General features: G+C 38.8%; 1 protein-coding gene and 1 long non-coding RNA gene across 4 annotated transcripts in view, besides 2 other annotated features; both read left to right on the top strand.

Annotated features, from left to right (window-relative positions):
• TRIM59-IFT80 (TRIM59-IFT80 readthrough (NMD candidate)) overlaps positions 1-14,454 on the top strand; it is a 258,294-nt gene that overhangs the window by 35,848 nt on the left and 207,992 nt on the right. Inside the window, exons 1-3 of one of the 3 annotated variants that reach the window (NR_148401.1) lie at positions 62-183; positions 1,105-1,174; positions 10,714-11,668. This is a non-coding gene — a long non-coding RNA (TRIM59-IFT80 readthrough (NMD candidate)). Of the gene's footprint in view, positions 1-61; positions 184-1,104; positions 1,175-10,713; positions 11,669-14,454 lie in introns of those variants that run through there. The other 2 variants (NR_148402.1, NR_148403.1) reach the window with 2 other exon arrangements.
• Positions 114-14,397, top strand: TRIM59 (tripartite motif containing 59). Its single transcript, NM_173084.3, has 3 exons — positions 114-183; positions 1,105-1,174; positions 10,714-14,397. The coding sequence occupies exon 3, from the start codon at positions 10,717-10,719 to the stop codon at positions 11,926-11,928; it is 1,212 nt and encodes a 403-aa protein (NP_775107.1). The 5' UTR covers positions 114-183; positions 1,105-1,174; positions 10,714-10,716; the 3' UTR covers positions 11,929-14,397.
• Positions 224-463: an enhancer, noted in NCBI's record as "active region_20758". NCBI's record gives its function as "activates an Ori minimal core promoter by ATAC-STARR-seq in GM12878 lymphoblastoid cells {active_cell/tissue: GM12878}" and the evidence as "EXISTENCE:reporter gene assay evidence [ECO:0000049][PMID:35858748]".
• Positions 458-978: an enhancer, noted in NCBI's record as "NANOG-H3K27ac-H3K4me1 hESC enhancer chr3:160166710-160167230 (GRCh37/hg19 assembly coordinates)". NCBI's record gives its function as "activates a minimal SCP1, AML or CMV promoter by ChIP-STARR-seq in naive H9 embryonic stem cells {active_cell/tissue: H9 hESC(naive)}" and the evidence as "EXISTENCE:reporter gene assay evidence [ECO:0000049][PMID:30033119]".

Here is a 14,454-nt window from a genome sequence, read left to right as displayed (position 1 = left end):
TTGAATGTTGCCTGCAGACTGCGCCTGCGCTGCGAGGCTCCGCGAGGCCCCGCCCGGTCTGGGCACCTGAAGCCCTTCGGGGCAGAGGAGGGCGGGGACTCGGGGCGGCTCTCAGCATCCGCCTGGAGCTCGTGGCGCTGTGTTTCCGTGCTGTGGAGTTGCCTGGTCCGCTTCCTCCCCGCGGTGAGTCTAAGGACCTTTACGGATGCGGAGAAGGTGGTTCTGAGTCCTTTTTCTTTTCCTGTAGCACAGTCTGGTGTGCCTAGTGTGTTGGGCGGGGAGTCCTGGGGGCGCGACGATGGAGGGAGTGGCTTGGGACCTGCACTCATTCCCTCTTGTCCCATACTGGAGTTTGGGGAGCCACTTTCCCGTCCCTCCACTGTGGAGCTGCGTTCCTGTGAGGGAGGAGGCCCTCTGTGGTGGCGAGGGTGAGCTGAGCGGACGCCGCCGAGTCGGTCAGTCCCGCGGGGTTGGGGACGGGCGGGTGCCGAGGTGGAGGCGCGTTAGGAGGGAGGCCTGGGAGAGTGGAGCTTTGAGAAGGGGAAGGGAAGAGTACTGCCATTTTGAGCCCCTTTGTGGGAGGTGCTCGCAGGACTTAAGTGAGGTAGGTGCAGTTACCCATTTTACAGATGTGAAGCCTCACTTTTGAGAGGTATTTGGTAATACTGACCCAGGTCCCACAGCATTGAAATGGCAGAACAGAGAGATGAGCAAACTATACTAAATCAGTTATAATTTAGAGCTGGCAAGGTATTTTACTCCCATGGATGCTTTTGTCTTGCAGTTAATTTTAAGCACTCTAAAATGACCGTGAATGTTTTTTCTGCCATCACCATTGTTGGGTAATATTGTCGAGAGCTCATAAGCTACTTGACGTTGTGAAAAGAGGTCCTTTGTGACAGTCTGTTTGGTCAGAGTTAGGATTTTCAAGGAACAAGCGATACCTCTACTGCAGCTCCAGCAACTGTGTTGGTGTTTGTGGCTTTTCTGAAAACACGATGAAGCATCGTGAAGATAAATATCAAAGACAGTGAACTAACAACCATTTTTATGACATGAGACAATAAATTGAAAACATTAAAGATAACATTATTTTAATTTTAGAATAAGAATAAAAGATTCTGGAGGAGTTGGAGAAGAGTGTATTCAGCCCCCAAACCACGAGATCAACAAAGTAGGTAATCTGGGAGATTAAATAAATATGAAAAACAATTAAGTTTTTACAGAGTGTATGATTTAAACTACAAAGTGAAATTTAGAAGTCTTTTGAAAAAACATTGTGTTGGCGGTGTATAAAACTCCAACCATTTTATCGAAGGAGCGGAGCATAAAGTGAAAAATAAACAACTCCCTTCTCTGATCTGTACCTTAAAAGTAGTCACTTAACTCTTTTGTACATCCTTCTAGAAATTTTACAAGAATGTGTACATCTCAAAACACATGCAAAGTTGTTATTTTATACATACAGATCTGCAGAACTACACAAAACTGCAAATTAAGTTACCTGGATACTTTTTCACTATGCATTCATGTATTGGTCTTTTTAAATGAGTAAGTAGCTATTTAATCTGGCAAGGTGAAATTTTGATTTTAGGTGATGTTAGTTTTGACATTGCCTTTCACTAAACACGTTGATGAATATTTCCCACCAGATATATTTTTACTTTGAAAAGTACAGCAAAAGCAATTAAAGCCTTAATTTCTCAAGTCAATTCCGGTTAAATTGAATTAATAGTCTTTTTTTGTTTTGTTTCTAGTTTTTATTTTTATTTTTTAGTTTAGGGAAACAGGTTGATATCAAAATGAAAGAAAATAGTACAGATGGACAAAGAGATTTAAAATCAGCTGACCATAGGATTTTTTTAATTTGAAAAAGTTAAGGTGATCTCTCACTATTTTTGTATATTTATATGTGACAGAATTATTTTTAAAAATCTTGTTTCTCAGACTTTCTGCGATAATGTTAAAAAAATCTTATATATGTTTATAAATGGTGCAGTTGTAGTTATTTCTTAAGTAAGTCTTGACTTGCATGAAATGTATTTCTTCTTTATCAGTTAGGTCCACAAAGATGTGAGCCCCAGTTTGGGTGGTGGCACCACTTGAATTTTCCCATACTTAAAGCTGACTCACTAGAAGTCTTGGGACAAGTCATCGAATTCTATAATGTAATAAATATATTTTCCTTTCAGAGGTTGTGAAATGTAATGAACGTTTTACAACTGTTCATGTTTAGAGTTGAAAGGCAGGAAAGCATTAGTGAATTAAAACTTAAAAACTGGTTTACACAGGAGAATGGGTAATGATATTTTCGGTGCTATTTAATCATCTATTATACTGTCTATTACCTAATATGCCAGTTAGACATCAGGGAGGCTCACTAGTGAATTGGCCCTCTGGAGAAAGACTTAATAAAAAGTTTGGAAATTCAGAAATGTATTTGTTTTGACACTTAAACACACTAGACATTAGTGAAATAATTTGTAAGTAGAGTGATTTAGCCTCAGGTTTCTTTCTGAGAAGATTCATTTTTTTATATTAATATTTCTCGGTTTTAAAAGAGAAGCAGGAAATCTTGAACTTGGTTTTTACATGAGCTTAGTACTCACTAGAGGAAAATACATTTTACATGGATTATTTTACTTTTTTGCTTTTTAAAAACATACAGTAGTATAAATTGATTCAAATTCATTTAGCAAAAGGAAGACTGGATAATAGGCAAGACGCTTGAAAATTTTTTAAAGTTTTTTTTTTATTGTGTAAAATATGCTAAACATAAAATTTACCATTTTAATCTTTTTAAGTATGCAGTTTGGTGGTATTAAATACATTCAAATTGTTTTGTAATTATCACCATCAACTATCTCCGTTAACTTTTTCATCTTCCCAAACTGAAACTGTGTACCCATTAAACCAGCAGTCCTCAACCTTTTTGGCACCAGGGACCGGTCTTGTGGAAGGCAATTTTTCTGTGGACGGGTGGGGGTGGGTGGTGCATGGTTTTGGGATAAAACTGTTCTACCGCACATCATCAGGCATTAGTTAGATTCTCACAGTGAGCCACAACCTAGATCCCTCGCGTGCGCAGTTCACAGTAGGGTTCACGCTGTTATGAGAATCTAATGCTGACACTGGCAGGAGGCGGAGCTCAGGTGGGCTCGAGGCGGAGCTCAGGTGGGCTTGCCCGCCACCATGGTGGGGGCGCAGGGTGGGTAGGAAGGGTTGAGGACCCCTGCATTAAATGATAACTCTACATCTTCCCTGCTCTCAAGCCCTGGCAACTACCATTCTACTTTCTGTCTTTGAGGACTGCTTATTGGTTTTGATATTATATATATTATATGCTTTTTTCACATATAATGTGAATGTAAATTTTTTTTCCATTGAACTAATTGACTGAATTATATTAATAGATTTTTCGTTATTGAATTAACTTTGTATTTCTGGAAAGAACCTTATTTAGTCATGGTACAGTGTTTTTTTTAATGTACTCCTGTGTTTGTTTTTGCTAACATTGTATTTAGAATTTTACATCAGTGTCCATTTTTGAAATTAGTCCATTTTTAGTTTGTATTGTCTCAGGTTTTGGAATCATGTTATACTGTCTTCAAAATATTTAGCAAACTTTTCATATTTGTATTCTGGAACAGTTGAGTAGGGCCTAGTCCACACTCAAGGGAGAGGAGATTTCAAGAGTATCCAGAAAGTGTAGGTCATTGGGGGCCATTTTAGAGGCTACCTATCACAGATAGCTAATGGCTTGTTTATTTACTTAAAGAACCAATTCTTAGACTGGTCATGGTGGCTCACAGCTGTAATCTCAGCACTTTGGGAGGCTGAGGGGGGAAGGATGTCTTGAGGCTAGGGGTTTGAGACCAGCCTGGGCAACGTAGTGAGACCCTATCTCTACAAAGCATAAAAACATTAGGCATGTGTGTTAACATGCACCTATCAGCTACTTGGGAGGCTGAGCTGGGAGGATTGTTTGAGCCTGGGAAGTTGAGGCTGCAGTGAGCCATGGTCACACCACTGCATTCCAGCCCTGGTGACAGAGCAAGACTCAGTCTCAAAAAGAGCCATCTCTTGGGTTTATCAGTTCTAGCAATTTTTTTTTTTTTTTTTTTTTGAGACAGAGTCTTGCTCTGTCACCCAGACTGGAGTGCAGTGGCATGATCTCAGCTCACTGCAATCTCCGCCTCCCAGGTTTAAGCGATTCTCCTGCCTCAGCCTCCCGAGTAGCTGGGATTATAGGCGTCTGTCACCCTGCCCAGCTAATTTTTGTATTTTTAGTAGAGATGGGGTTTTGTCATGTTGGCTAGGCTGGTCTTGAACTCCTGACTTCAGGTGGTCCGCCTGTCTCGGCCTCCCAAGGTGCTGGGATTGCAGGTGTGAGCCACAGTGCCCAGCCAGTTCTAGCAATTTAAGTTTTCTAGTTCATTATCATCTTCCATTTATCTTTATTCTTTTTTTATTTTTTGAGACAAAGTGTGGCTCTGTAGTCTAGGCTGGAATGCAGTGGAACGACCGTGGCTCATGGCTCATTGCAGCCTGGACCTCCCAGGCTCAAGCAATCCTCCCTCCTCAGCCTCCTGAGTAGCTGGGACTAACAGGCGTGCGCCACCATACTTAGCTAAGTTTTTTATTTTTTGTAGAGATGGGGTTTCACTGTGTTGCCAGGGCTGGTCTCGAATTGCTGGGCTCAAGTGATCCTCCCACCTTGGCCTTCCACAGTGCTGGGATTACAGGTATGAGCCATTACACCAGGCCAATTTTTATTCTTTTTTTTCCACTTTTCCTCTTTTTTTTTTTTAGTTGAATTATTTTATATTCCTTTTGGTTTGGTAAGTAAAGTGTATGGTGTCAGCTCTGCCCATGTAATTTTTTTTTAGCTCTGTAGATTTTACTGAAGAGTATTTCTGTTGTTTCACATGAATAAATTATGTCGTGGCTGTGTACAGAATTCTCAGCTCATATCCCTTTCCTTCTAGTCTTTGTGGACATTGCTACATTCTGTTCTAGCATTCCTTGTTGCTGGTGATGTTCTGGTTATTTCCTGCTGTGTAACAAACATCTGAAAGCTTGGCTGGCCAGATATTCAAGATGTCTTTTTCACTCATGTGTCTGGAAACTCCTTGCCCTTCTATTTGGCCTGTCTCTTCAGCAAAGTAGCCTGGACTTCTTACATAGCAGTTTGTGGCTCCGAGGCAGCAACCTGCCAAACTAGTTAAGGGCTATACCTAGAACTCACCACATCACTTATACTGTATCCTATTGGTCAGAACAGTCACATGGCCCACACATATTCTAATGGGGGAGAATAGATTTCATCTCCATGTGCAGGGAGTAGCAGCAAAGTCACATTATAGGACAGCTCATGTGGGAGATAATTATTGTGGCCATTCCAATTTTGGAAATTCCAGTCTCCCAGAGGAGGATTCTGAGACCTTTGGTTTAGTTTTCCTTTTTTCATCCTTCTTTTCTGTGTGGATACTTGTAGAATTGTTCTTATTTCTTTAAAATTGTATTATATTTTTAATTGCTTAATAGTTAAAAGCGAAACCATGATTTATAATGAAAAACAGATTCTTTCCCTCTAGAAGCCATCACTTTTATCTGCTTTAACATTTCTTTTGGTATTTTCTTTTATATTTCTAGATATTTATTTTTTGTGGGTTATTTTTTAAGTATGTATTGACTTTCTTATAAGGAAAAATTAAGATTTAGTTCTTAAACTGTTTCCTTCCCTTATTTTCCCCCTCAATATAATTTTGTTACTCTTTGGTAAAATCAGTATTTGATATTTACAATATTATGACTGTTACAGTGACAGCTGAGCCATATACTATAATATTAATATTTCCTCTCTTTTCATGATTCTATCACGTTTTTTCCCTAAATTTAGTTACCTCTCAATATGTTTCATATACATGAAGCATTTCTGTCAGTTCCATTTATTTACTTAAAGATCTGTCTTCTGCATGCCTGAAATCACAGCACTTTGGGAGGTCGAGGCAGGTGGATCATGAGGTCAGGAGATTGAGACCAACCTGGCTATCATGGTGAAACCCCATCTCTACTAAAAATACAAAAAAATTAGCTGGGCGTGGTGGCGGGCGCCTGTAGTCCTAGCTGCTCGGGAAGCTGAGGCAGGAGAATGGCATGAACCCAGGAGGCGGAGCTTGCAGTGAGAGGAGATAGCGGCCACTGCACTCCAGCCTGGGCGACAGAGCGAGACTCTGTTTCAAAAAAAAAAAGATCTGTCTTTTGGATCTTTCTTCCTCTTCTAGAGTGACTCTTCCCTAGGCTTTCACAGTTGTCCTGGACTTCATTTCGCCATTATGCTGGCGAACATTCTTGCTTTTCTTTTCTCCCTGCAGTAGCTTCTTTAGAAAGAGTTGGAAGAAGGTTGTTCATTTTTGAGATCTTATATTGTCCAACTGTCTTTATATAAAAATGGATTATTTTTTTTCTAGGTATAGAGTTTTAATTTCCATTTCAGAAGCCATTTTTTTTCCCCTGAGAATATCAAAGGCATTACTCCATTGTCTTATTGTTTCCAGTGTTACTGATGTTTTTACTGTTTGGAAACCTACATACAGCATAGCTAAATCCAAGATGTTCATCCTAGAAAATATACATAGGTTAATTTTTTGTTCTTTTTCTTCCTTTCAGAAGCCTAGACTGGTTGTGGAAAATTTCTGCTGCATAAAATTTCATATTGGTTTCTGAAAGAACTAGCCTGTAAGCATGGTAGCCACCTGTATCTTTTTTTTTTCTAAAAAAGGCAGGGTCTTGCTCTGTTGCCTAGGCTGGAGTGCAGTGGCACAGTCGTGGCTCACTGCAGCCTCAACTTCTTGGGCTCAAGTGATCCTCCTGCCTCAGCTCCCCGCGTAGCTGGGATTATAGGCGTGTATCACTGTGCCTGACTAATGTTTAATTTTTTGTAGAGAATGGGGGTCTCTTGGTGTTGCCCAGGTTGGTCTTGAACTCCTGGCTTCAAGTGATCTTCCCACCTTGGCCTCCCAAAGTGCTGGAATTACAGGTGTGAACCACTGCACCTGGCCCACCTATATAGTTTACTTCTCAGGCAGCAACCAGAGTCAGAAAGTTCCTGACCTTACAAAGTTATTTTTCAGTTCTAGTTTCTCTTGAATTTGTTGCCTAAAATTAGTTTTTAATCAATAAATCAGTGAGAAAAGGGTAGTCTGAGAATAGATTTTGACTTCTGTGAACTTCAAGTTATCCACAAATTTTTGTCTAAAAAGTATTATTAAAAATTTTACATATGATAGCAGTAACTTTGAGACCAACCACGATTTTTGCTTCCTATTTTTTTTTTTTCCTTTTTTTGAGACAGAGTCTTGCTCTGTTGCCCTGGCTGGAGTGCAGTTGCGCCATTTCATGCCTCAGCTTCCCGAGTAGCTGGGATTATAGGGATTACAGGTGTGCGCCACCATGCCTGGCTAATTTTTGTATTTTTAGTAGATACAGGGTTTCACCATGTTGGCCAGGCTGGTCTCAAACTCCTTGCCTCAAGTGATCCACCTGCTTTGGCCTGCTTCCATTTTATATAAGCTTAGGATATGCTTTACAATGTCATGAATATTCTCATTCTAAAGAAAGTTGAGCTTTTGGGCCCCTAAGTGCATTCTCAGAGTTGTTCCCTAGTTTTCTGCAAGCATAGAATAGGGGTTTGGATAGAAAAGTTAGATTCTGTTTTAGGACTAGTTTTGCTACTTAAACAATTGAATAGCTCCAGTAATATTAAATCTAGATTAAATGTACGTCGACTGCTCAAATTTTATTTCCTACAAAGTGTTATTCTGTTTATTCCTTCAATGTGAATTCTGACATCACTGAAATACTCTGAAAAACACATTTGTTTTTCTTGGGTGGTTTCTGTATGACTTCATAGCTTTCTGTAGGTGTAGGGTAAAGTTGTAAAGTCTTGCCAGCATGCACTCACTTGAATTTATCTGCAGTGAATGTCATCTTCTTTACTGTTGCTCAATTACTTTAATTTGCTGGAATGCTCTACAGTTCAAGCTTAGTCTCTGTGTGACACACTTTGGCTCATTCGGGATCTGAATATTGTCAGTTTGAATGGAGTGCTTTTTTTCTTTTTTCTTTTTTTTTTTTTTTTTTTGAGATGGAGTCTCACTCTGTTGCCCAGGCTGGTGTGCAGTGGTGTGAACTTGGCTCACTGCAAGCTCTGCCTCCCGGGTTGACGCCATTCTCCTGCCTTAGCCTCCCAAGTGGCTGGGACTACAGGCGCCCACCACCACACCTGGCTAATTTTTTTGTATTTTTAGTAGAGACGGGGTTTCACCCTGTTAGGCAGGATGGTCTCAATCACCTGACCTCATGATTCACCCACCTCGGCCTCCCAAAGTGCGGAGATTACAGGCGTGAGCCCCCGCACCTGGCCTGAATGGAGTATTTTCTGATAGATTTTCGTTTTACACCTTTTCCTAAGCAGAGATTTTGCTATTAAAAAAACAAAAAACAAAAAACCCCAAAACAAAAATCTGTATTAACACAGGTCTCTGAAAAGGCATTTGTTCATTGAAGCAGTAACAAGTGAATGCCTGCAGTGTTAAAATTTGTGCCTAAATTGCAGGAATATAACCATTGTTTAGACACAATTCCTGCCCTTATAGGAGGCCTACATTCTAATGTATACAGAAAAGTTACAAAATTCTTAAATAAAATCTTGTTAAAGTGCTATGAAGTAAAAATGCAGTGTTTAATGAGAATAACAGGGGACCTAATCTGGGGAAAAGGCAGGCTCAAGTTGAGCCTTGAAGGAAGAGTTAAGAGTTTGACAGATCGTAAAGATAAGGAGCCAAGTTTGCATTTTATTAAAAATGCAGTTAGTTACTTTTAGTTGCTGTTTTCACAGATTTTTAATCTTAAAAGTTAGTTTTATAGCATGTGATTTGGTAACCTTTATATTTTACGTGAATGGCACTTGGGTGTTTATTTTTTTTGAGACGGAGTTTCGCTCTTGTTGTCCAGATGAGTGCGGTGGTGTAATCTTGGCTCACTGCAACCGCCACCTACTGAGTTCAAGCAATTCTCCTGTCTCAGCCTCCCAAGTAGCTGGGATTACACGCATTTGACACCACACTGGGCTAATTTTGTATTTTTAGTAGAGATGGAGTTTCTCCATGTTGGTCAGGCTGGTCTCAAACTCCCAACCTCAGGTGATCCGCCCGCCTCGGCCTCCCAAAGTGCTGGGATTATATGCGTGAACCACTGCGCCTGGCCATGGCACTTGGGTTTTTAAGTTTTGCCTAAGGTACTTTCAACAGTGGTATAACTTGATTTTTCTCTATCAAGGGGTAAGCTAGTCTTTAGAATTGTGGCTGATGCATTGAGGGTAGGTATAAAGGAAAGCAGTAGGAGGTGGTAGGGTGCAAAATGGTCAGGCTTCTGTTACTGGAAATATCAGTAGTAGCTTGCCAAGAGGTCAAGTTACTTGTGTCAGAGATGGTCTCTGAACTATCGCTACGTTTCTTTTTCTGTCTCAGAGAAATACGGATCGAGAGACTTTCATGAAGGAAAGATGACTAATGGTCTTCTTTTTGTTCTTTACCATTTAGTGCTCTAGTTTTTCACTTAAAAATTAATTCACAGTTACTATAGTCAACTCTTATCTTTCAAACTGATTTTTATTATAAGAATTAATTCAAAATTTTTCTGTCTTCTAAATCTGCAAGTTAAAATTATTGCTTTAGAGAATTATACTATGCTGATCCTGGGGTTTAAGCGTTCTTGTATTCTAATTTGAGAAGCTAAAAAATTTATGGTAGTAACAGTTACTGTGGAGAAATTTGATAGCTTGCTTTAGAAACCATTATTGAGCCAACTGGGACATGTTTCCTCCTTTTGTGTTAAAGAATATACTTTTGCTAAGCCTAACTTGTTGTAATAGAAATAGTCTTGTCTACTCATTATATGTGCTTGGTTTTGATTTTATCATCTTAAATGTTAAAATGTTGCACAAAATAGTTGTAATCACTAAGTAGACTTTAACAGAACACTTTGAATTTTAGTCTTTATTATGTAGTGTATTAGTCTGTTTTCATGCTGCTGATAAAGACATACCTGAGACTGGGTAATTTATAAGGAAAAAGAGGTTTAATGGACTCACAGTTCCACATGGCTGGGGAGACCTCACAATCATGGCAGAAGGTGAAAGGCACGTCTCACATGGCGGCAGACAAGAAAAGAGAATGAGTGAAGCAAAAGGGGTTTCCTCTTACAAAACCATCAGATCTCGTGATACTACAAGAACAGTATGGGGGAACTGCCCCCATGACTAAAGTTATCTACCGCTGAGTCCCTCCCACAACATGTGGGAATTATGGGAGCTACAATTCAAGATGAGATTTGGGTGGAGACACAGCCAAACCATATCACATAGCAACAAATTTAAATAACTTAAATTTGAAGCATTTTACTACAAATTAATGATAATTGCTTTGTTTGGGATGATTTTGGTCCCTAAGGAATAAACTCTTAATTGTGATCAGTTATTCACTATATATACTAGGAAATGAATTACTCAGAAAACTTCATTTTAAAAATACCTTGTTCTCTTTTAAATGACAAGCAGTATGGTAACAATTTGGAGGTTAATGCCTAGAATGTTAAATAATATGTACAGGTGTCTCTATGTAAACTTAAAATACATTTTTCTCTTGACAGGAAATGCACAATTTTGAGGAAGAGTTAACTTGTCCCATATGTTATAGTATTTTTGAAGATCCTCGTGTACTGCCATGCTCTCATACATTTTGTAGAAATTGTTTGGAAAACATTCTTCAGGCATCTGGTAACTTTTATATATGGAGACCTTTACGAATTCCACTCAAGTGCCCTAATTGCAGAAGTATTACTGAAATTGCTCCAACTGGCATTGAATCTTTACCTGTTAATTTTGCACTAAGGGCTATTATTGAAAAGTACCAGCAAGAAGACCATCCAGATATTGTCACCTGCCCTGAACATTACAGGCAACCATTAAATGTTTACTGTCTATTAGATAAAAAATTAGTTTGTGGTCATTGCCTTACCATAGGTCAACATCATGGTCATCCTATAGATGACCTTCAAAGTGCCTATTTGAAAGAAAAGGACACTCCTCAAAAACTGCTTGAACAGTTGACTGACACACACTGGACAGATCTTACCCATCTTATTGAAAAGCTGAAAGAACAAAAATCTCATTCTGAGAAAATGATCCAAGGCGATAAGGAAGCTGTTCTCCAGTATTTTAAGGAGCTTAATGATACATTAGAACAGAAAAAAAAAAGTTTCCTAACGGCTCTCTGTGATGTTGGCAATCTAATTAATCAAGAATATACTCCACAAATTGAAAGAATGAAGGAAATACGAGAGCAGCAGCTTGAATTAATGGCACTGACAATATCTTTACAAGAAGAGTCTCCACTTAAATTTCTTGAAAAAGTTGATGATGTACGCCAGCATGTACAGATCTTGAAACAAAGACCACTTCCTGAGGTTCAACCCGTTGAAATTTATCCTCGAGTAAGCAAAATATTGAAAGAAGAATGGAGCAGAACAGAAATTGGACAAATTAAGAACGTTCTCATTCCCAAAATGAAAATTTCTCCAAAAAGGATGTCATGTTCCTGGCCTGGTAAGGATGAAAAGGAAGTTGAATTTTTAAAAATTTTAAACATTGTTGTAGTTACATTAATTTCAGTAATACTGATGTCGATACTCTTTTTCAACCAACACATCATAACCTTTTTAAGTGAAATCACTTTAATATGGTTTTCTGAAGCCTCTCTATCTGTTTACCAAAGTTTATCTAACAGTCTGCATAAGGTAAAGAATATACTGTGTCACATTTTCTATTTGTTGAAGGAATTTGTGTGGAAAATAGTTTCCCATTGAAAATGTCAACCTGAATTGTTTAAATGGGCTTATTCTGTACATTGCTAAACAAAAAATGGGGTAGCATGGATAAAGAGCAAACTAAGCTTTATTAGTGCTGCAACTAATATAAACAAATGTTTATATTTGTTGCTTCTTTTGGTTAGCAATGATATGTCAAAGTTATATCTGAAATAGTCAAATCTTTGGGAAACAGAATCTAGTAACAATTTGAAAAGTAATACACTATCCCATTTTTATTGGCTTTATGATGGTTGACATAATGTTGCTGTGACATTTAAACATTCTTGTACCAATATTGTCTTTTACCATTATTATATACTGCAGTTAATTGGCTTTACAGTTCTTTATATATATAGCAAAATCCTGAAAGAACATATACCTTTATTTTGATGTGGCTTGAAGCTTTTGAATGGGTGAATAAGGATGATAGAAAGGTTTCAAAATCAAGCAACAAAGTCTTAAAGTGATAAGGCATGGCTTAAAGATCTTTTGATCAAACATACCTGTGTTTGAGATAGATTTAAGAGCCCTAAATGCTTATCACCATTCACTCCAAATAAAACTATTGCTTTTGGATAACTGTTAGAGTAAAGTGGCTTTTTAAAAGAAATTTTTGAGACTGGGTCTCACCTTGTTGCCCAGGCTGGAGTGTAGTTGTCTGGTCATGACTCACTGCAGTTTCGACCACCCAGGCTCAATCGATCCTCCCGCCTCTGCCTCTGGAGCAGCTGGGACAAGGCACACACCCCCATGCCTGGCTAATTAAAAAAATTGTTTTTTGTAGAAACGAGGTTTTGCCATATTGCCCAGGTTGGTCTCAAACTTCTGGGCTCAAGAGATCTGCCCACCTTGGCCTCCCAAAGTGCTGGGATTACAGACGTTAGCCACACTGTGCCTGGGGGCCAGCATTTTCTAATACTTGTCATATTCTATAGTTTGTGCAAATTTAAGATTGTTTTTTTTTCTGCTCGTCAGTCAAATCAGTTCTTGGATTAAAAACTCATTCTTATTAGAACAGAATCATGTTGGTAACTTGGTCTGCAACAGGTTTTGATGGCATCATGTGGACTTTATTCATCTTAACTCATTTAAATTTTCTACCACATTCCCTTAAGCTAATGCAAAAGTACCAACAACTTAATCTTTTTTTTTTTTTTTTTTTTTTTTTTTTGAGACGGAGTCTTGCTCTGTCGCCCAGGCTGGAGTGCAGTGGCGTGATCTCGGCTCATTGCAAGCCCCGCCTCCCGGGTTCACACCATTCTCCTGCCTCAGCCTCCCGAGTAGCTGGGACTACAGGCATCTGCTACCACGCCCAGCTAATTTTCTGTATTTTTAGTAGAGATGGGGTTTCACTGTGTTAGCCAGGATGGTCTCTATCTCCTGACCTCATGATCCACTCGCCTCAGCCTCCCAAAATGCTGGGATTATAGGCGTGAGCCGCCACGCCCGGCCCAACAACTTAATCTTTTATTAGCTTTGCTTAAGAGGGCCAATTAAATCAAAGCCCTTTAGTTCCCTTTAACAGGGACTGGAGTTATGATGCATGTGTTACGACTTTTGGCCCACTGTCCATGCAACTCTAAGTGCAGGTTGATTTGCTTTCCAGAAATCCCAAAGGGGCTGCTCTTGGATCACCGAAGAGCCTTACCTATATCAAATCAAAAAGACATTCTGGGTCAGATTAGACTATGCTCCTGGCCCTACAGATTGCACATAAACTATCATAAATACAGCTTTTTCAGGGAACTAGTTCTAAAACTCTTACCTGCTGAGAATAAGTCTTAACACTAAGATGACTGTATTATATCAATTTATTATTAGAATCAGACTTATACCTAGCACAATTAACTATTGTGTGGGCAAAGAACATTTAAAGGGCATAGTAGAGGTAAGGAGAGACACATACTCAGCTAGAGATAAAAATACTAAGTTGCACTGATTACTTAAAATACTAGTCACACCATAAAAGTGCCCTGTAGTTTCAAAAACACGTAAGCAATGAAATGTTAGCCATTATGTGTTAAACTACTTAATCTCATTTCTGTGATGTGAATATTTTTAACCCCCTTTTTGTAGATGAGGGAACTGACAAGTGACTTGTCCAAGGCCATATAGCTGTGAGAAAACCCATGCATTCTCTTTTCAGAGTTCATGCTATCACTCAACTTTAAAGTAGGCCAAGATTAATGTTGGTAAGGGTTTGTAATCTGTAAGAATGCTAAAAACGTAAGTATATATATCATTTTAGATTTGACATTTTGTATCTTGCCAGTTTTTAGGAGAACTTTTCATTTTGTTAAGTATGCATGAATATAGTTGAGTATATGAGTAACTGGTTCTTATGCTGCTGTTTTGTATTTTTACCAGCAGGAAGATTGCAAAAGTTGATGTATGTAAATCTTGAAATATTTCTAAGTTTTATGTATAACAAAATATGTATTTTAATAAACTTCTTTTGATATTTTATTTGCACTGTCTTAATGAGACTTCCATACTCAGGAGTGGTAGCTATGGGATTTTCAC

This window comes from Homo sapiens, chromosome 3 (genome assembly GCF_000001405.40).
Source record: "Homo sapiens chromosome 3, GRCh38.p14 Primary Assembly".
Lineage (NCBI taxonomy): Eukaryota > Metazoa > Chordata > Mammalia > Primates > Hominidae > Homo > Homo sapiens.
This window is presented reverse-complemented; position numbering and strand designations above follow the sequence as displayed.